The 23,242-nt window shown below is 38.4% G+C and overlaps 1 protein-coding gene, 1 long non-coding RNA gene and 1 pseudogene across 5 annotated transcripts in view; 2 read left to right on the forward strand and 1 right to left on the reverse strand.

Moving 5' to 3' along the window:
* SDK1-AS1 (SDK1 antisense RNA 1) overlaps positions 1–23,242 on the reverse strand; it is a 108,539-nt gene that overhangs the window by 73,892 nt on the left and 11,405 nt on the right. For all 4 annotated transcript variants that reach the window (XR_001744897.3, XR_001744898.3, XR_007060194.1 and 1 more), the window contains exon 1: positions 1–23,242. This exon is cut by the window's left edge and continues 15,210 nt beyond it; it is cut by the window's right edge and continues 11,405 nt beyond it. This is a non-coding gene — a long non-coding RNA (SDK1 antisense RNA 1).
* Positions 1–23,242, forward strand: part of SDK1 (sidekick cell adhesion molecule 1) — a 967,749-nt gene that overhangs the window by 16,187 nt on the left and 928,320 nt on the right. The window lies entirely within an intron of this gene.
* On the forward strand, positions 20,647–21,188 carry RPL21P72 (ribosomal protein L21 pseudogene 72; annotated as a pseudogene).

Consider the following 23,242-nt stretch of genomic DNA (forward strand, 5'->3'; position numbering starts at 1 on the left):
TCCTTTCCCTGTTTCCTTTAGATGATTCTGCCCCTTCATCTTCGCTCCTCATTTCTGTAGCTTGACTTTGTTCTGTAGCTGTGTGCTGTTCCCTGGGTGCCTGCCAGGAGGGCGCTTCCTTCTGCCTATTCCTCTCTCCATTCATTGACTATCTTTAAGTGGCGTTTTTTCCTTCCCTACCTGTATTAAGATTTTCTACTTGCAGACTCTTCTCCCATGTTCACAGGAGCTGGTTTTTCCTTGTTGTGCATGGAAGCACCTTTGGTTCATGTTTAGGATATGAGCATTGTTGACAGGCACTGTTAACAGGTGAAAACATCTCAAAAGGATGCTTGATTAAAATAAGTATTTTGTTGTTCATAAGCCTCTTTATTTGGCTTTGGTAAACTAGGAGCCTAAGGTAACCTTTCATTCCAGTTTTTTAAGTTTTTGTGGTTATATTATGCAGTTTTTATTATGCAGTGCTTATTTCTTATGACAAAATATGAGTAGGTTAAATTCATACCATATCAAAATGTAGTAGTGAAAGTCTCTACTTTTCTGATCCTCAGCCCCCTAGTTCCCCCTGCTTGAGGCTATCACTGTTTCCAGTTTCATGAGTATTTGTTCGCTGATATTTTATGCATATACAACTATATATGTCTTTCCTTGCAACCCTTTGACATTATACAGATGGTAGCATACTCTTAGCTTGGAGGCTAGTCCCAGCGCATTTTTCGCCTATATTGTGTCTTAGAGATCATTTCATATTAGCACACATGGGTATACCTTGTTACAAACATGCACACACAGAAAATAAGCTTTAAAGCCGTCTGCTGTAGTGCATTGGCATTATAACATAGTGTCATGAGTCGTAGAGCTGGATTCAAATCCTGACCCTGCCATTTAAGAGCTTGTGACCTTGGGCAAGTTGAATCACTTGTCTGTGTTTCAGGTGCTCATTTGTAAAGCAGAGTTAATCTCTCTCTCACAAGGTTTTTGTAAGGATTAGAGGAGATAATGTATGTAAAGTATTTAGCACAGTGTCTTGCTTAATAAATCATAGCTATTATTGTACTCATTAATTTATCAGATCAAATGAACCCCTAATGTGTTTCTCCTTCTCAACTGAAATACACAGAAGGCATTACTTATTACTTGTTTCGTGACCTTTTGTCTTACCTTGGTTGTCCTTTTCTTCCAATTCCATAGTTTATCTTCTCTCCTACTTACCTCCTGAACTTATCCCCAACAAATGTTACATATTTCTTTTACTTTTTGAGTTTTCTTGGCCTGTTGATGAATATATTGACCTAGCATAGCCCTTGCCATTGCATTAGGTACCATCATTGTTGGTTTTAGTACTAGAAAAACTCAACAAAGAAGGAATATTTTCTTGGTGATGCTCCAGAGTGAATTTAATATTGACAATCAAATTTATTCAAGTCACTAGACAGGATGATTCCTTTTGTGATTGGGATTTCAGCTGGGATAGAACTGAGATTTGGATACAGATGGTACCTGGCAGACGGGAATAAATGTGGGGCTGAAATGCCACAGAAGCAGTTAGCAGTGTGGGCCTATCTGGGGGTGGCCTGAGGAAGGACATTCATGAGGGGGGAGTAGGTGGGGATGGGAAGGACAAAAAACCGCATTGTTAAATTAATTGGCATGACAACTCTGGCAGTGGGGCCTCACGGAGAATGAATGATATGCAGGGTGTGGTGTATGTATGTGTGGAAAATAGAAAAATGTGGTGTGTAGAAACTGGAAGAACTGTCTCCCTGGGTTATTTTAACGTTCTGCTTCAGAGTACAAGCAGTTTAGCTGTGGGAAGCCCCCACCCTTTTCCACAGGAGAGGGATGGCTCTCATTTGACACAAGCTGTCATGCTTGTAGGAGTCAGGATTGTTGCACCCAGAAATGCTTGTGGAGGGTCTTGTAAGGGGTTGAGTGCCTGTAAGAGCATCTGGGGGCTTAGACCGGTGGCCCTCAAGGTATTAATTCCTTATCAGTGTGTTCCCATCTACACCCATGGCTGGTGTGGCCTAACCAAGCTGGCTTACCTTTTAGAAGTTTCTTTTTATTATCTCCTCAAGAGTACATGCTCTGGCTTCTTGGCCTGGCAGGCTTTCATTACTTACATGATACATATATGTACTCTTTGATAATCTTATGTTTTTGTCCCTTGTAAGTTTCTGCAATTGTATACTGCATTGATGAAGGAGGGTCTGCTCTCCTCTCCCAGGGTGTCTAGTGATGGCCTGCATGTCTCTGGTCTGTTTATTGCCAACTCAAGTACCTTTTTTGCCATTCCATCGTGAAAGAAATCAAAATATAGCATTTTGAAATACATTTGAAATGTTCTGTTTAAGGATTTCACTTTAGTTATACTGTTTCTACTTTATATTACAAATCTGGTTTCCTCTTCCATTTGCCTATATCTAACCCATTCTTAGTCTTTTTTTTTTTTTTTTTGCATTTGCTTTTCTGAAAATTTGAGCATTGAAAGGGAGGGCAGCTTGATCATGGACCAGGGCTTTCTGAGAATGCGAAAAAATGAATTTCACCTTGCCAAATAGAATTGCCTGGATGTGGTGGAGGGATATGATGAGGCAGAATCACAATTCTTCTACACTTTTGAAATTGTTCTCCCCAATTTATTCCCCCTTTCCTCATTCTCTTCTGATGTATGGGTTTAGGAAGCTCCGGATGACTGTTTCACACACGCACTCCCCTCTCATTCTCTCCTGCCCGTCCTTCCCACCGCACACATGCGCTGAAGGAGGTGAGCATTCTGGAGACCTGAGTCTCATTTCCAGATATCTTTGCCATCGTTTGCAGTTACAGCTTTTTTTTTCTATTTTTTTCCCCCTATCTCTTGTAAGTTCTCATATTATACATACTTTGAACTGTGGAGATAGCCACAAGTAAAATAAAAGTATATGTTTTTATATTCTATGGAGTAAGAACTCATGTTACTATAGTAACATGCTGCTCTGTAGCAGTCAGAATTGTGTATTTCAGTGTCAGAGTTCCCTGTTAAAAAATTAGCCTTAATATTGATTTCCTCCTGCTCCCACCTTGGTTGGTATATGAAAACCCTAAAGATGAAGCATTTTTAACTAATTTTTGTTCTTTACACATAATCAGAAATCAAACTAAATCCATCTGTGATGTTAGCTTATGGTCTTTCTAGATTTTAGCCAAAGATCTTGTATATTTTAAGCAGTTGCCCTGTTTTAATATTAATCATGGCCATCCCAGAATAAGTCCTGCTTGACACAGGGCATTTGTTCAACTAGTTATCTTTGTTAAAAAAGAAAATACCATAAGACCAGTCATATTTTGCTGCATCTAGAGTGAGACCAAACTTTATAATATAGTGATAAGCTTGACCAAAAAAATGTTTAACAATTTTGGTATGTTTCAGGAATTGGAGAAATTAGTATGTTGGTACTGTAAGGAAAAATGTGGGTTAAAAAAAAAATCCAGCTAGGACTCAGCAGTCTTAATTTAAACCTTGTGCTTGACAAAAATTGAATGTTGCCTGTATACTCCAGACACAATCGTGAAGCTCAGTTTCTGTATTTTTCTTCTGAAATTTAACTTCTGCTAATATAACATAGGATATGTGGATGTCTTGCAATCCTAAAATTTTAAGATATTTCAGGGCTTATCAACTGAAGGCTCTTGAAATGAAAACTACTACATGTATTCATCATACGTGAAATAAAATCTTTTTGAAACTAAAAATCCTTTAAAAAATTCACAAGCAAGATGATACTATAGAATTTCTTTTGACAGATTCCTTAGAAACGTCAAAATCAAAGTGAAAACAAGTTGGAAAATCCTCTTTGATTTTGCTGGGTCACTTAATTTGAGTTGATTTCTTCAGAGCACATAACGTTTCTTAAAGTACAGTACTAATGACAGAGTCCCAGGTGGCCAGCCTTGTGAGCTGCGAACTTTGTCCTGTTGTACTACCTCTGGCTCTAGAGACTCAGCCTAGGAATGTGAATTGGTGAGAATATGTCAGAACCTGGCTTCCTATTGTAGGAACTCAGTGCACTTATTTGGTTGATACTGAGTCGCTATAAAAATCATTGACATGAATGACAAGTTGTGTTTTTTTCCCCAACAGTTAAAGACATTTTACATACAGTATGTGAAGTTACTTTCCAAAGAAACATTCTTCATGTTTTCGCAAGTTTTTTTTTAAACCTAATATTTAATGCAATGAATGTGGGTTGGTTTCTCTTCTTCCTTCTTCCTTCTCCTCCTCCTCCTCCCCCTCCCTCTCCCCTCTCCCTCCCATCCCCTCCCCCCTCCTTCCCCTCCCTCCCTTCCTTCCTTCCTTCTCCTTCCTTCCTTCCTTCCTTCCTTCCTTCCTTCCTTCCTTCCTTCCTTCCTCCTTTTCTCTCTCTCTCTCTCTCTTTCTCTCTTTGTTTCCATTGTAAACATATTTGCAGGATTCAGAGGTGAAACTGTAGCGGAATGTATACACAGAAGCTCTGCTTATACCTTTGTTCCCCCAGCCTGTTTGCCCTCTCCCTCTACAGGTCATCATTTTTATTAGCTTCTTTCTAAAGTTTTTTTTTTTTTTCACTTAGGTGCCACACAGCATCGAGTGAACTATTTTAAAGTGAACAGTTGAGTAGTGTTGAATACATCCAGAGTGCTGTGTGATCACCACCTCTAGTTCCGGGACAGTTTCATCCCCCACCAAAGGAAGTCCCATACGTATTAAGCAGCCCCTAATGACCATCCACCCGTGTTCTGCTTCTATGGATTTATCTATTCTGAATATTTTATATACAGGAATAAGACTTTGTGTCTGGCTGCTTTTGCCTGGTGTGATGTTTGAGGTTCATCTGGGTTGTGTTTTGTCATTACATCATATCTTTTTATGACTGAATAATATTCCATTGTATGTATGTGCCACAGTTTGTTTATCCATTCATCTGTTAATGGATATCTGTGTTGTTTCCACCTTTTGGCTATTGTGAATAGTGTTGCTGTGAACATGTATGTGTGTTTGAACACCTGTTTTCTCTTCTTTTTGGTATATGCCTAGAAGTTGCATTACTGGGTCATATGGCAATCCTGTGTTTCACTTTTCAAGGAACCACCAAACTCTCTCCCACAGTGGAAATGGAACAATTTCCACCAACAATGTAGAAGAATTCCAGTTGGTCAGATTGTTGCCTACACTTACTTTCCTTTTTTAAAAAAAATTCAGTGGCATTCAGGGATCTTCATAATCTGAGCTTTGTTTTCCTTTGCAGTGTAATCTCTTCCTGGTTTCACATGCCACTTTCAGAATACTGGATTATGGTAATTGCACTCTTTTGCTCCCTTCTCTTCACCTAATGTGTTGTCCCCACCTGCCCTTTTCCCCCACCCATAAGACCTTGTCTCTGTCTCTGTCGCCCAGGCTGGGGTGTGGTGGTGTGATCACAGCTCACTACAGCGTCTACCTCCCAGGTTCAAACAGTCCTCCCACCTCAGCCTTCCAAGTAGCTGGGATCACAGGTGTGTGCCGCCACACCTGGCTCATTTTTGTTTTTGTTTTTGTTTTGCCATGTTGCCGAGGCTCGTCTCAAACTCCTGGACCCAAGCAAGCTGCCCATCTCGGCCTCCTAGAGTGCTGAAATTACAGGCGTGAACCAATGCACCAGACCAGGTTTTGCCCTTTTGTTTGCAGGTCCCTTTAACTGTGATGCTGTCTCCTAGCCCCCTTCCCCCACTCGACCGAGGGCCAGGCAAATTCCAACTCATTTGCTGAGTTTCAGTCTTCACCAAGTCTGTGAACTTCAAAAGACGTTATTCATTGTTACATTCCCTGCATCCGGCACAGTACCTGATGTCTGATGGGAACCCAATACATGTTTGAGTGAATGAATATGTTGTATAATTCTTTTTTCTTTATCACGATTGCTGCTGGTGCCGATTGAATTTCCAGAGCTTGCTGTAAAAGATAGGAAGAAAATATGTGGTAACATTGGCCAGTGTTTGGGCCATAAGATGTGTAGAGGTTCTAAGGAAAAATACACTTCCAAACTCATTCACATTGCTGGTCATGTTCAGTTCCTGTGGCTGTAGGACTGAGGCTCCTGTTTTCTTGCTGGCAGTCAGCTGGGGCCACACACTGCTTCTAGAGGTCAACTTGAATTCCTTTTCGTGTGCCCCACTCCATCTTCAAACCAGCAATGGTGTGTCAGGTCCTTTGTATGCTTTGAGTATTTCTGACTTACGTTTTTAGTTGGAGAAACTCTGGGTTCATGTACCTAGATCAGGTCCACCTTAATTATTTCCCTGCCTTCAGGTTAAATGTGCTGTAGAATATGACATTGTCACAGAAGTGAGATCTCATCTTTAGTTACAGGTTCCAGAGTATGGGGCAGAACATTTTTGAATTCTGCCTAGCACAGTGTTTATAGTTTATTGATCTGTAGATAGGTTGGGTAAAGGTTCTTCTTCAGCCAGTAAAATGTCATCTTCTCTGTCTTTTGATTGCAGGGTTTCTATTACCTATGTCCATTTCTTTAAGCCGTTTGGTCTCATATTCCTCTGTGTGTTACAAGAATTGTATCATGTTATCTATTTCATGTAGAAGTAAGCATGAGAGAAATGAGTGTAAATGGGCTGTTGGCCCTCACAGTAAAATCTGGTATCTATTCTAGGGAGATACTCATGTTTTTCTCCTTTTTCACATTGCTGTCGTAGGGTCAGATTCATTTTTCATGGTCATTTTTCTGGTTCTCTTTTAGCATTTGAAATTGAGTAGATTGTTTTGATTGTAAGAATGTTTTTTAAAAGTAAATTTTTATTAAAATGTATATATGGAAAGGAAGACAAATAGTATATTGCTTGATAAATTTTCACAAAGAGACATGCACATGTAATTAATACCCAAATCAAAGCATTAGAATATTTACTAGTACCCTAGAAGCCTTACCTACTCAATAGCTCCCTTAAAGGCAGTTTTTTGCTTGCCTGTTAATTTGATGAACTTTCAGCCTTTGAAAAGTCGTTACAAAAAGCCGATGTGTAAAATGTTTGGAGGATAGGATAAGAATAGGAGGTGGCTCTTGGAAGTTTGTTTGCTCCTGAGTATGGGACCTAGTGATCAAAGATGAAGTGGAACTAGATACTTTATCTTCCCTGTAATAGGAAATACACTCCCATTGTATAACTGTAATTTTTACTCATAAAAATGGGTTTTGCACTCAAAGCAAAAGTAGGCTCTTACTTTTACTGTTAAAATAGAAACTGGAAAACTGTTCTTTAGAAAAGTCATCCTAATGGGTTCAATTTGAGGTAGTTGCTGGTTTTTATATTTTTATTTTTTTGACCAGTGCTTTAAGTTTTTCTCCTGTAATTTTATTAAACCTATGCCCAGGAAAAAGTAAACGGCAAGATTTCAGAATCTGAAAGTTTCTTACGTTTGAAAGAAAGTCCTCCCATGCTTCATTTTTCCTAACAGAAGGTAAACTTTCCATGCTGAACTTGTCTCTATTTTTAACAGAGGACAAGCTTTAGGAAACTGTATTCAAGCCACATATAGTGTGGTAGATTCTGGTGGTGGAGCAGCTATTAGTTATGTTTCTCTGGAACTGCATTTATCATCACTGTTACCAAAAGCATCCTAGGTTCCTTGGGAAGAAGATCTTAAAGTTCTCTACCAAACCACTTTTTTTTTTTGGTGATGCTTCAGTCTCACAGGTGATGCTTAAAACACAGATTCTGATGTGGAGATTTGAGATCTTACAACCATAGACCATATGTTAAACATTGACTACACAAGGATTCGTGATCTGAGCATTAATAGCCTGTTTTTTTCCTAATTGCATGTTTTATAGTAATCCTAACCTTTAATATATAAGATCCTAACCTTTATATTTAACGTCTTAACCTATTGCTCTGTATTTCTTTAATGCCATGGATTATTGCTTACAGTTATAAATGAAATAAGTAATTTTACTTTATATTTTCATTGATATTCAACGAATACCAATTTAAGGAGAGAAACATAGATATACTTTTAAAGAATTTAAGCGTGGCACTTAAGATTCTTTTTATTATAATAAGCATGTGAAGAAGCTCTTTTTCTGTAATCCTAGTTCCCAGGGGCCAAAATGATGATTAATTACAGACAATAGGTTTATAAAAGTAACCGTTTCCATCATAGAAGTGTCATAAAAGATTAAAGGGTGTATCAACAAAATGAACCAGCTTCCTGTGTAAAATTATTAATATTGCTAAATAATGTAGCCTTATATCTGTTACAAAAGTACCAGAAAAATTGCTGGATAATGTGTTACAAATTTTTTACAAATTACATAGATAATCCTCAGTTCTGTTGAATTTCTCTGACATTCTGCTCAACTAGTTTTTCCTGTGCAGAAAAATCTTAACAGGTTGATGTTACAGGAAAAGTGGCATGCTTTTAGAAACCATGACTAGGCTGCCTGAATCAAACATCCTCCCCTTTGAGAGGCCTAGGAAAGAACCATCTCGCTTGGTTGTATCCAGGGTACACTCTCATAGGGATAAAGAGCCAACCAAATAAAAGGGCAGACATATACTTAGCTGTACCTATCTATCCTAATGTGTGTATATATAGTGAAGCTATTGTACAATATTTCTTAATGTAACTTAATAAGGTAGTTAGTTTTTTAGCCTCCTAATGGCTTAGTGTTTATAAAAATGATACTCGTTCACTGCAAATTGTAGAGTATATAAAAGTGTAGAGAAAGTAGAAATCAACAGAAATCCTTTTCCCTCGAGATAACCGTTGTGAACATTTTGGTGAACATGTTTCTAGAAATCTCTATGGTTATATACATATGTAAAAGTGTACATATCTAATGGGATCAAATTATATGCTGTTTTGTATTCTCTCAGTCCACAACTTGCCAGTTTTCAAATCTGTAAATGTAGATATATATTATTTTCAATGGATGTATGCTCTTCCACTGTGAGTCATAGTTTAGTTTACTCTGATATCACTAGACATTGAAGTTGTTTTAGTTCTTCATTATAAACTATGCTATGATGAATACAGTTGTCTGGTAATTCTGTTAGTTTAGGGTAAATACTTTGAAGTAGGATTGCTGGCTCATACAGTATGTCTTGTTTCCCGCCACAGAGCTGCCCTTTGGAAAGGTAGTGTTAGTTTACACATCCACTGAGTCCTCATTGCTACATCTTCTCACCAACACTGCTTTCTAAATTAATTATTTCAATTCATTTATTTTTTATTTAATTTTTTATCATGGAAAATGTAAATACATGCAATGGTAGAGTATGCATCTATCACTCAGTTTAAGTAATTTCAACTCATGGCTAATTTTGGTTCATCTACATCCCACCTGTTTTCCTTCTTTTCATTTTGTGAAGCAAGAGGCTTCTCAGGCTGTCATTTAACCTGTGATACCTCACTTTTATTTACATCTGTTTATTACTGAAATGAGTATTTTTTAAATATACTTACTGGGTACAAAGTGGTTATAAACTTTAATAGTGAGTTAATTGATTTTCTTCCTGTGGGTTTACACCAATTGCAAAAGTGTAATTTAGCTCTTAGGTTGAATAATCTTAAGCTGATTTAATCTTAAGTCAGATGTAAAGATAATGTTCAGTTCCAGAAAGGTAACCAGACTCTGAGCTGGTTAGGTAGCAGCTGCAGCGTTTGGTCCTGGGTGTGACATCTTAAGAAGAATATTGACAAATGAGCATTTCCAGAAGAGAGTGACCAGCATGGTGATATTAGAGAATAGTGTCACACAGGGAATGGTTGAAGGAACCAGGTGGGGATCTTCAGTTTAGAGAAGACAGAAATTTGAGGGAAGAGGCTGATGAATGGAGACAGCTATCTGCAGATTTGTCATGTGGAAGGTTTCAGGGATAACAAGGAAGAAGCTGCTAATTAAGTAGCAATAAATTTTATCTCCTCTCTGGCTGCTTAGCTTTTATTGATTTTATTTATATACAGCTGCTGGAAGCAAGCGACTGGTTTTGTGATTAAAATGATGCTTTTGGGTTTCTAGGAAACCCTGAGATGATCTTTGTCAGGTTTTACTTCACATACCCATCTCTCCAAACAGGGATTTAGCGTTGAGATTTAAAGCGGTTTTGCCATATAAGAAAATATTTTTCAGTAGAGAAAAATAATATTCCAACTGAAAGCTGTCCAGTATAGGCCCAGAATCCCATATCTGTAGTTCCAAAATAAAAAAAAAATCCTGACAGCAGAATGTTTCCTAACTCATTTAGAAGCAAAACTTGACCTGAATGACTGTGTCTTTATTTATCCTACTTGATGTGAATATTCATACATTTCTTTGCAGAAATAGTAATGTGTTTGATTACGGTATGCTTTTCCATACCCCAGGAATATTATGTAATGCTGTAATTACCCATCGAAAACTCATGTCTGAATTCTTAACACTTCTGGCACAGAGGGTGTGTATACCTATAGTTGTCGTTCTGTCGTATGTTGAATTATATGCGGTGTATTTTGATACCCTATCACTATGCATGTGTAAAAAGGGAATGATAGTGCTTTTCCTGTTTGTCCCTCTGGAGGCTGTGAAAATTAGATTACTATGTGGAGCATATTCAGAATAGAACTGCCTAAAAATAACGTGTTACTGGTATGGTATTCTTATTCTGTGTGTGTTTAACTTTCTGCCCGAAGATAATTGGGAAGAATAATGTGGAAATCTGTAGTTGAAATATTATAACTGTTGAACAAAGAGATGTCTTCCAGAGGCAAAATGACAAATGATATTTAAAAAATATTTTCACTTTATCCAATCTGATTAGTATATTGTGGTGTTATTTTGAATTATTTGAAATGAAGTAATATATCATAAAACAGAATTAGGCTTATTTTAAGGTCTACACTTATGAGCTCTTACAATTTGCTTTTAGATATATATATTGAAGTTACTTGTAAATGATGATGATGATTTCATTTTAGATCATGCTAACATTCTAGTTCAGATGATCTGGGTTGCTTGTATTAGTGTGGCAAGACCCAAACTTCACACAGAAAGGAAAGGCAGTATGATTTCTAAAATATTTACTTATATATATAAAAAAACTTGGTTAAAATCAAACAGCAGAAAAATGTATTACATAAAAGTCTCCTTCCCCTAATCCTTGTACTCAAAGATAACTGGTATGATTTTTTTTGTGTATTTTTTTCATAAAATCTTTTTATGTTAGTATATATTTCAAAAATTCATACAAATAGGATGATGCGCTCTCCATTTCATCCCTCTTTTACTTATGTGCCTTAGAAATCTTTCCATGACCACACACATAGATCTATTCTCCTTTTAGTGACTGAAGTATTCCACATGGACTATACAGTTCAGTTAGTTCAGGTCATGGGCTGTTAGGTTGTTTGGTTGTCTTTTTTGTTTGTTTTAAAGTAAGTAGAAGTGATCATGCAGTGAACAACTTTGTGCAGTTTGACATATTTTTCTAAGAAAATCAAAAGGTAGATTCCTAGCATGGAAATGTAAGGAATCATTTAAATATACTGATAATGCTGGATTACCCAAACCAAAGGTCTCATCAATGTAGTCTTTTACGATGTTCACCGATGCCGTTTATCCCCTCTCTTGCTACTGCTAGACATTATTTAAGTAGGTACGTCTTTAAATGCATTTTTCATTTAAATTAATTTATATTTTGTTAATGACAAATTAAATTTGAAGAAAAGGTTATATATGTATGAGGCATATCATTTTACATTTTGCAGATAATGGTTGGTACTCATTTAAGCTCCCAAAACTCTTGGTTCTAAACCACGTCCATGAGGCACTCTTTGATGACTCTGGGGAAAAGCAGATTCTTTCCTCTCTTCTCATTTTGATCTCCTTGGGAGGAAACAAGCTCCTTTTTCACATACTTTTTTGAAAACAGCTTTATTCAAGATACAATTCACCTACCATATAATTCATCTATTGAAAGTGTACAATTCAATAGTTTTTAGGATATTTAGAGTTCAGAGTTGTGCAACTCTCAGTAGTCAATTTCAGAGTATTTTCTTCTCCCTAAAAGAAGCCTCACCCTTCTTAGCTATAATCACGCCACATCTTCACACCCTACCCTAGGGGAACCATTAATCTACTTTGCGTCTCTATAGATTTGCCTTTTCTGGACATTTCATATAAGTAGAATCATCCGGGATGTCATTTTTGACTGGCTGCTTTAACTTGGTGTGCTGTTTTCCACACTCATCCATTTTGTGGTATGTATTACTACAGTTGGTTCTCTGCATTGGTGCATTCTACATCTGGTGTTCAACCACAGATTAAGAATACTTAAAAAACTGCATCTGTACTGAACATATGCACACTTATTTTTGTCATTATTCCCTAACCAATGCAGTATAACAACTACTTATATAGCATTTATACTTTATTAGGTATTATAAGTAATCTAGCGATGACTTAATATATGAGAGGGTGTGCATAGCTTATATGCAAATACTATGCTGTTTTATATCAGCTACTTGAGCATTCATGGATTTTGGTATGCATAGGAGGTCCTGGAACCAATCCGCTATGGATACCAAGTAGATGTCTATACTTCATTCCTTTTTATGGCTAAATAGTATTTCATTGTATGTATATGTCACCTTTTTTTTCCCATTTACCAGTTGATTAACAGATATTTGGGTTATTTTCACTTTCTGGTGTCTGTGAATAATGCTGGCACATACTGATTTCATGTGGACATATGTTTTCATTTCTCTTGGGTATGTACCTACAGGTGGAATTGCTGGGTCATATAGTAACTGTTTAAGCATTTGATGAACTGCTAGTTTCCTAAGTGGCTGCATTAGTTTACATTTCCAATACCAGTGTGTGAGGGTTCCAATTTCTAACACTTATTTTCCTTTTTTAAAATAATCATCTCCTGTGGTTTAAATGTGTTCCCTAAATTTTATGTGTTGGAAACTTCACCCTCAAATTCATATGTTGATTGGAGGTGGGCCTGTGGGAGGTAATTAGGATTAGATAAAGGTCATCAGGGTGAGGCCTCCATGATGAGACTGTTGGCTTTGTAAGAAGAGAAAGAGATTTGCACTGACATGCATGTGTTTGCATTGTTTTGTCATGTGATGCGTCTTGCCATGTCATGATACAGCAGGAAGGCCCTCACCAGATGCCAGTGCCATGGTCTTGGACTTCATAGCCTCCAGAACCATGAGCTATGTCAACTTTTCTTTATGAATTACCCAGTCTAGGGCTAGGCACGGTGACTCATGCCTGCAATCTCAACACTTTGGGAGGCCAAGGCAAGAAGACTGCTTGAGAACAGGAATTCGAGACAATGTGGGCAACATAACAAAACCATTTCGCTTAAAAAAAAAAAAAAAAAAAAACCAGGTGTGGTGGTGTACCTGTAGTCCTATCTACTTGGAAGGCTGAGTTGGGAGGATTGCTTGAGTCCAGGAGGCTGCAGTAAACTTTGATCCTGTCATTGCACTCCAGCCTGGATGACAGAGTAAGACCCTGTCTCTTAAAAAACATAAAAATAGGGCTGGTTGCAGTGGCTCACGTCTGTAATCCTGCACTTTGGGAGGCCAAGGCAGGTGGATCACGAGGTCAGGAGTTTGAGACTAGTCTGGCCAACATGGTGAAACCCCGTCTCTACTAAAAATACAAAAATTAGCTGGGTGTGGTGGTGTGCGCCTGTAATCCTAGCTACTTGGGAGGCTGAGGCAGGAGAATCACTTGAATCTGGGAGGCAGAGATTGCAGTGAGCCGAGATTGCACCACTGCACTCCAGTCTGGCAACAAAGCGAGACTCTGTCTGAAAAAAAGAAAACAAAAAACAAAACACCCAGTCTATGGTGTTCTGTTACAGCAACAGAATATAGACAAGTGCATGATCCTAATAAGTGTGAAGTGGTATTTTGTGGTTTTTACTTGTACTTCCTCAATGGCTAATAATGTTGAGCATCTTTTCATGTGCGTATTGTCCATTTGCATATCTTCTTTGGGGAAATACATATCAGATCCTTTGCCCGTTTTTTACATTAGTTGTCTTACTGAGTTGTAATAATTCTTTTTATATTAGATATAAGTGCTTTATCAGGTATGATTTTCAATCTGTGGGTCCTCTTTTCACTTTCTTGATGGCATTCATTGAAGTGCAAAAGCGTTTAATTCTGATGTCCACTTTATCTTTTGTTGTGCTTTTGGTGTCATATCTGAACACAAGTCTTTAAAGGATGAATTTGCTTGGTGAAACACCTTTCCTTTGGATACCAGGTTCATAAGATTGGACACAGTCAACATTTTTTTTTTTGATCTCAATCACTTATTCCTTGAAGATAATCTCAGATGCAGCTTATTTTAAGGCAGTCCCAATTAGTTGACTTTCAGATGTGTTATTTGGAAATACTTTTAAAGGTATTTTGATAAGAAAATTTAAGTTTTACAATAAAATGTAACCTTGCAATGTAGCTTTGCATTTTATGGTAAACATTAGTTACTGCTTACTTTACAGGTACTAAAAATCAACTACTTCAATTTCAGAATGTAACTTTCTCATGCCTTATTTTATTTCGACCAGTATTAAGCCTCTTTATGCTTAGAAGATGGTGTTGAATCTGTTTCAGGTTAAAAAATACTTTATTCAAACTATTATTTTCTTAAAAGTTAATATGTCTAAAGTTTTTGAAAGACACTGATCACTGAGATGTTTGGAGATTTAAACTGGTTTATTTTTGGTTATCCATGGAAAACTTTAAAAAATTTCTTTATTGAATTATAGTTTTAAGTCTCCTTATTTTATTCTCGATGATTAATGTACAGGGCGTGGCTTACTTATAAGTGTGACTAAAGTTGTGCAAATTAATCCTAGCAGGGCTCCATCCTTTAATGTCAGTGCCGTCAGTTGTTCTCCCCTTATTCCTATTATTCTGGCATTATATCTTATCTGTATGTAAATTCTTATTCTGTGGGTGAAAAGGGATATGGTTCAACAGGATCCAAGAACTTAAAAATTGCCCTTTTTCACATTTCTCATAAGTAGTAAGTCTCCTAAAGCGAAGTCAGAGTCATTATAAAGGCATGATAATGGAGTCTGTTATCTATTTGGAAAAACAACTTTTATTGCCATTTATAATAAATGTAAATGGCCTGCCATTTATTTTAGAATTACTCTGTTTCTAGGCCCTAGAAAGGCTCTGCATTTTATAATTAAAGTTAGTAGAGGCTAGAAGAACTTATAGGAATGTCATAATGTGCTGTAGGGGACAGTGATACTTTTAAAGGTTCTGACATTCAGCCAGTAAGGTGCTTCTAGTTCCAGATAACTTCTTTTCCCCCCAGGAATAGATACAGAAAATATTTTTGGTAAATCTGCCAAGTTTTTTATGTGATTCTCATTATGTTAAATTTTATTATCAGTGCCTAAATAATGCTAACATTTTAAGTTAAACAGTTATTCAGCTTACCACTTTGACATTACCACTGATTAGAATTGAAGGCTAAGTTGAGCCTGGGGAACGAGCCTCTTTGTCCAGAAAAGGGCTCTTAGATTTTTCCCTGTCAGTGTATTGTAACCTTTTATAAGGGCAGCGCCAAGAAAGGAGAAGCTGCTACTTGGGGCATTGTGTTTGACTTTGGTATTCTCACAGGTATGCTGTCTAGGAAAGAGTTCAGGTCTCCTGCTTAAGAAATTGGGAACTAGGCTGCTTCCTGTGGTTCTGTTGCTTTGTCGGGGGAGGGAGGGTACCTGATTTCTACTGAAGGCCAAAATGCAGAGTCAATATGGCCGGTTATTGGCAAAAATTATGATATTTAGAAACTTTTGGAATGTCTGCAATGTTTTCTAGACATTCTAGGGAGGTCACTGGTGTTTGGAAAGTACATACAAATGGTGTATGAAAGGAGTGTGCCATTTTCTGCAGAGGTGTTCGTTACATTTCATAACCTTATGTTGCCATTTAATGAGGTCAAAGAGGTTTCTTGACTGTGACTATGGAATGCTTATCTTTTGTTCTGTCTTGATCTCCTCCTGTCTGTGTCTCTCATTATCTCTGACTACTTGTATGTTGGCAGTGGCTTTATTTCCTTTCACACTCAGCCTGGATTCCAGGCTCATCTCTAACTCCTACATCAGAACCCTGAACTGGCTTGTCTGTTTTGTAATCTGCCCTACCATGCATACCCCTAACCTAGCACAAACGCCCTACCCTTCCCTTCTCTTGTACCCATGTGGCTCAGCACTTCTGGATAAATTAGAACAACTTTGACGATGGTATTGGTCAGGGTTCGATTATCGAGGACAGACTCTAATTCTTCCTACTTTAAGCAGAAAGCAGTTTATTACAGGGAATTAAATTTCTTGGTGAATTGTTGAGGGTACTTAGAAACGCTCCTAGCAGGTTGTGCTAGAGTATAATTCCCAAGGCTGCCCTGTGGAACTGGACTGCCAGGGTGGCCAGCATCCTAGCCCAGGCATGGGGCTGCTGATTTGGCTGTTGCTGCTCCACTGCTGGCCCCAGAACCACACCACCTTGGCCGCTGTCCACAAGAGTAAAGTGGCTACATCACACTTAGTTTCTCTCCCCACTTAGTTCAGTTTCATTCTTAACCCAGTTGGACCATACCATTTGTGTTTTGCATGGTTCATGTTTATCATGATCTGAAGGAACCTAAATCTAGAGCAGAACCCCAATGTGGTTTTTCAGCTTTCCAGACTCTGCAGAGCTAGAAGGTGGGAGTAGATTGAAGTGAGTCAATCTGCAGTATTTTCCACATTTATGGTTTCCGAGTATAGCTGGCTCTTCAAGATTGTTTTGTAGTCCTTTCACCTTTCCTTGATAGGTTGACTTGTTTGCTGATGAAAGCAGCAGTTCTCATTCTACGCTGGCCTCTTTCATTCTCATTAGATGGTGGAGCCTACGCTTGAGAGAAGAAGCTGTCGGGTACGAACTCCACTTAATTGTCCTCCTGTTCTTCCCTGCCGTCCCTTTCAAATGACCACAGGTAGCTGTCATAGCCCCGTAGAGAGTGTGAGAAAGCACAGGCAGGAGTCAGCAAGGTTGCTGGGAGGACTGAGGCTCTCGGAGGTGGATCCTGGAGGTGAGAGGGCCAGGTGTGAGGACAGGAGCACGTTCCAGAGGCCCCACGACAGCCTCGCCCAGCACATGGCACCATTCTTCACTTACAATCCAGGGCACTCTACTTTCCTGTCTTGCTGGTGGCAGCTCATTCTGTTCCCTTCGTTGAATCTTCCCTTCCTATCCTCAGGTTCAGTCCTTATTCTGTTCTTGACTTCTCTTTGTGGACAATCTCCTTAGTTTATCTCTAGCTTCAACCTTTCCCAGAAGTCTAGAGGTATATTTCCAATGGTCGGTCATCTTAGATAGCTCATAGGCTTCTCACATCTAATATGTTTGAAACCACTCTTGATTTTTCTTTTTTTTCAAATCTCTCTCACTTAGTGTCTCCCATTTTAATAAGTGGCTTTATCATTTACCCAGTAACTCAGGCCCCAAATCTTGGAGTTATCCTTCATTTTTTTTCTTCTCTAATTTATCACCCTGAATCCCATTAGTAAATTCTGTTTTCTCTGCTTTTAAAACATACCCTGAAACCAGTCACTTATAATCAGCCTTATTGCTGCCATTCCAGGCCACCATCATCACTAATAAGCCTTATAAATGGTGGCCCTAACTTTTAACTTCTGTATCCAGTTGCCAGAGTGACATAAACCTAAATCATGTCTTTCCACTGCTCACTTAGATTATAAATACTATTGCACTTAGAATACAATTTAAAATCCTTGCTGTGGCCTACAAGGTTCTGTGTGGATGGTCCCAGTTATCTTTCTTTATTTACCCCCTAAGCATTATCCACCTGGCTTACCAAGTTACTTCCAAGCTGTCTCCTGATTGTTCTCTATTTAAAACAACTGCTTTATTAACTTACTGGGATAAGATACATAATGGTACTTATCTTTTTTTTTTTTTTCTGTTCCCCAGTAGACTATAAGCTTCATAGGTAGGAATGTTATTTTGCTTCTTGTGTTATCTTTTCTTCACCTGGTACATAGTAGGTGCTCAAATATTTGCCAAATGGAAGATGGGGACAGGGAAATTATTCTACAGGTCTTGTCTTAATTGGAAGATTGAAGGATAAGAGGGTCTTTGTGGAGAAAGTAGTCTGTAAGAAATAGTAGTAAAATATGGGACTGATCACTACTGCCAGGAAGAGGAAAGTAAGCACTAGAACTTTCAAATTCACAGAAGCAAAAATGAAATGAATAGTAATCCAACCAGACCAGTGGGAGTCAGGAAAGGAAAAGTAGAAACTGCAAGATAGAAAAGAAAGATGAAGAAATGGGAATGGGCCAGAGATTTACTGTCTTACCAAGGTGGAGCAGCCCCATTTCTCTCTACCCTCTTAGGACTCAAAATCCCTGGACTTCATATAACAAAGAAGCATAGGAAGATGCTGAAAGGTGGAGAGAAGACTGTGGCCACTCTAGAGTCCTGGGGACTTGAGAAATGACAAGGGTGTCAGTTCCCCTCCTTACTATCTCCCACATGTCTAGTACAGGGCACTGCAGAAGCCTCCATCCCTGAACCACCAGTAGGCACAGACAGCAAAACTCTGAGAAGAGCCTGTTCCCCATAGCCAGAGGACAGGGGAAGGGAGGGTGGTCTAACAAAACAGAGCTTTTGTCAGTACTCACTCTGCTCCAGCTAAACCAAGGAAACTGCCCTCCTCCCTTCCCAGGCTTCGAGAGCAGGCAGCATGCTTCGGTTCCCCACCCAGAGGCTGAAGGCATGCCTGAGCAGAGAGTTAATCTTTCATATCCTGCCTGGCAGAAGCAGGTGGTACTTCAATTCCCCTGTCAGGTGGTGCTGACAGCGCCTAGTGGGGAGCTGATCTTCCACCCTCTGCCTGGTAGGAGCAGGTGATGCTCTGACTTCTCTGCCAGGGTAGTGTCAGCAAGGCCCAGGTTAGGGCCATATCCAGCCCCCACCAGCCACAATGAGGTGGTGCTAGCAGGGGGCTAATTACCATTACACTTGACCTCTTCCATCCCCATCATCCCCTGGTGGGGAGGTGTGAGCCTCCACACCCACTGGTGGCAAATGAGGTATGGAGGAGCGGAGCATGCTGGCACTCCCCACCTCCCCGCCCCTCCTTTGGTATAAATAGGGCCCCCGGGGGTCCTGAACTTCTGCTCCTGGATGCAGCAACAAACTGGCATGGCTTAGCCCTTGGCTTTCCCTTCCCTGTGGTAGCTTGGCCCAGAGGGTAGCTGATCTTACACAGAGGCAACAGAAATGGTGAGTTGGAGCCACACTTTGGCTGGGAAAGTGTCAGTGAGCTGAACTCTCACCCCATCTGTCTGCAACAAGGCAATGTGAGTCATCACCCCACTTTTGTCAGGGTGATGGTGGGGAGTGGGGGGCTAGTGGGTAACTGAATGTGCATACCCACTCATCCCTGGTATTAATGCCTTTTTAGCAGGGAAGCTGCCCACTAAAAGATTAAATTTGATCTGGGGTCTCTTAATATCAAAAACATATAGGATACAATTCATACCAATTTATACAATTCTACAGATCACTCATACCAAGATCCAGGAATATCACCTATGAATGAGAAAGGACCATCAGCAGGTGCTAACTGATTTATCTGACAAGGATTTGAAAGCTGCTATGATAAAATGTTTCAACAAGCTATTACAAATTCTTTTGAAACAAAACATTAGAAATTCTCAGCCAAGAAATAAAAATAATTTATTAAAAACCAAAAAGAAATGATAGAACTGAAAAATAATGATAGTTTAAAAATACTGAATGGGCTCAATAGAGTGGCAATGGCAGGCTGAGAATCAGTGAACTTGAAGACAGAAAATTAGAATCTGCCCAATGTGAAAAAAATAGACTGGAAAAAAAAAGTCTCATAGACCTCTGGAGTGATGATAAAAGAGATAACACTTGTGTTGTTGCAGTTTCAGAAGGAAAGAATAGAGTGGGACCAAAAAAAAAAAATCTGAAGAAATAATCTGACTATAATTTCTCAAATTTGGTGAAAGACAGAAAGCTGTAGATCTAAGAAGCTGAGTGAGCCCCAGACAGGATCAACCCAAAGGAATCTGTGCCAAGACACATCCTGATTAAACTTGTGCAAGGCAGATACAGGAAAGCTACTGAAAGTAGCTGGAGTTTAACAATGTGTAATTTGTAGGGGAAAACCAGTCCAAATGAGAGGAGCCTTCTCATCTGGAATGATGGTGGCCAGAAGAAAAGCAGCACAACATTTTTCAAGTACTGAAAGAAACAACCATTAACCACCAATTCTATATGCAACAAAAATGTCTTTCAGGAATGAGGGGAAAAGGAAAACTTTCTTGCATGAAGGAAAACAAGTTGTGGTTGGTTACCAAGCATACCCTTAAAAACTAGGTAAAAGTTCTTTAAATGAATGGAAACGAAAACATAAGGCTCTGAATTTCAGAAAGGACTGGAATGGGCAAATATAGGGGCACATGTAATAGACTTTTTATGAGTTATATTTGGTTGAAGCAAAATTTTAATGTAATATGATGTAGTAAATATATGCCGCGGAAATATTTAAGACATGCTTAAAAAGTGGGGAAGGGCCTTTTGGCTGGAACCAACCATCTTCTGTTAATTTGCCAAAATGATGAACGACAAAGAGAAAAGGGAGAGGCACCTGGTATGTTCTCTAGGCCTTTTAGAAAACATGGACTTGTTCTTTTGGCCACATACCTGCAAATCTATAAGAAAGATGATATTGGAGACATCAAGGGAATGGGTACTGTTCAGAAAGGAAGCCCCACAAGTGTTACCATGGCAAAACTGCAAGAGTCTACGATGTTACTCAGCATGCTGTTGGCATTGTAAACAAACAAGGTCAGGGCACGACTCTTGCCAAGAGAACTAATGTGCGTGTTGAGCACATTAAGCACTCTTAAGAGCCAAGATAGCTTCCTGAAACATGTGAAGGAAAATGATCAGAAAAAGAAGGAAGCCAAAGAGAAATGTACCAGGGTTCAGCTGAAGAGCCAGCCTGTTCCCAGAGAAGCACACTTTGTGAGAAGCAGTGGAGAGGAACCTGAGCTGCTGGGGTGTCTCTCCTATGAATCCATGGCATGATAGGTGTTAAAAACAAACAAACAAACAAACAAAAAAAAACACCAAAACAAGAAAATACTCTGGACTGTGTTTAAAGAAAAAAAAAAGTGGGGAGAGTAAAGGCAACTTACATGGAAGCATGGAAGCCTGTTTTTCCTATTTTGCTTGTGCTGGTAAAAATGTTGATACCGGTAGAGTGTGATAAGTTACATATGCTTACTGTAGTCCTTAGAGCAGCCATTATGAAAACTGGTATACTCGAGCACTATGAATAAATGAAGGTGGAATTATTAAAAAATTGACATAATCCACAGGAAGAAAGGAGAAACAGAAGAAACAAAATAACAGAAATAATTAAATGGCAGGCTTAGGCTTGTCATACTAATAATTGGCTTAAATATAGATGATCTGAATACACCAATTAAAGGATAGAGATTGGCACAGTGGTTAAGAAAACATCCAAAACTGTGTTGTTCAAGAAATTCTCTTAAACCAATGACACAGGTAGGTTGAAAGTAAAGGATGGAAAAAGATATGCCATACAAACATGAATTTAAACAAGAGTGGCCATATTAACATTCAAAAATAATTTCAGAATAAATTAATAAAGACAGAGGCATAAGGATCAAATAATGAACACATTAGGAAGACATGATGATCCTAAATATGTACACACCAAACAGAACCTCAAGATACATGAAGCAAAAACTGAGCTGAAAGGAGAAATAAATTTAACAAATACTATATACATATAAATAAATGTAATAAATAACTGAAGTCTTAAACACCATATTCTTAGCAATTAGTAAAACTATACACCAAATCAGCAAGAATATAGGACTTACACAATTGACCAACAGAATCTGACATTTAGAACAATTTACCCGAAACAATAGAATACCCTACTTTTTAAGTGCCCATGGGACATCATAGACATTATTCTGGGCTATAAAATAAAAAACGTAAAAGGATTGAAATCCTACAGAATTTGTTCTGTGGCAATAATGGAATCAAACTAAAAATAGTAAAGGCAACAGGAAAATTTCTAAATAACACATTTATAAATAATTCATACGTCAGTCTCAAAGGAAAATATTAAACATAAAAATGAAAATATGTTATTAAATATGTGGGATGTAGCTTAAAGCAGTCCCAAGAGGGAAATTTATAGCACTGTTATAAATTAAGTTGAAAAGTGGAAAGGTCTCAAGTCAATTTAAGCTCCTACCTCAAGAAACTAGAAAAGAGCAAAACAAGCCTAAGCAAGCAGAACGAAGAGCAGAAGTCAGTGAAATTGAAAAGAGGAAAAAGAAAAATCATAAAAATCATAAAAAGTTATTTCTTTGAAAAGATCAATGAAATTTAGCAAGACTGACACAGATAAAAAGGAATAAGACCCAAATCAGTGAACAGGAATGAAATAGAGGATATCACTACAGAGGCTGCAGCCATTGAAAGGATAATTAGGAAATCCCACAGATAACTTTGTGCTCATAAATTTGACAATGTAGAGGAAATATCTTTAGTTTTAATTAGCTTTTTATTTTAGTTTTTCTCAAAAACTAAAACTTAATAAAACTCAACCAAGACAAAATAGACAATCAGAATGTAGGCATACCTCAGAGATGTGGCGGATTTGGTTTCAGACTACTGCAATAAACCAAATATGGCAATAAAAGGAGTCACAGAAAGTGGTTTCCCAGTGTATATATATAAAAGTTACATTTACTCTATGAAGTGCAATAACATTTTGTCTAAAAATACACACAGTAATTGTTGCTAGAAAATGCTGACACAAAGTGAGCACATGCTGTTGGAAAAATGGTGCTGATAGACTTGCTGAAAGCAGCGTTGTCACTAATCTTCAATTTGTAAAAAAACAAGTAAAATTAAAAAAATTGGCCAGGTATGGTGGCTCACGCCTGTAATCCCAGCACTTTGGGAGGCCAAGGTGGGTGGCTCACGAGCTCAGGAGATCGAGACCATCCTGGCTAACACGGTGAAACCCCGTCTCTACTAAAAATACCAAAAAAATAGCGGGGCATGGTGGCAGGCGCCTGTAGTCCCAGCTACTCAGGAGGCTGAGGCAGGAGAATGGCA

Source organism: Homo sapiens, chromosome 7 (genome assembly GCF_000001405.40).
Source record: "Homo sapiens chromosome 7, GRCh38.p14 Primary Assembly".
In the NCBI taxonomy this organism is placed as follows: domain Eukaryota; kingdom Metazoa; phylum Chordata; class Mammalia; order Primates; family Hominidae; genus Homo; species Homo sapiens.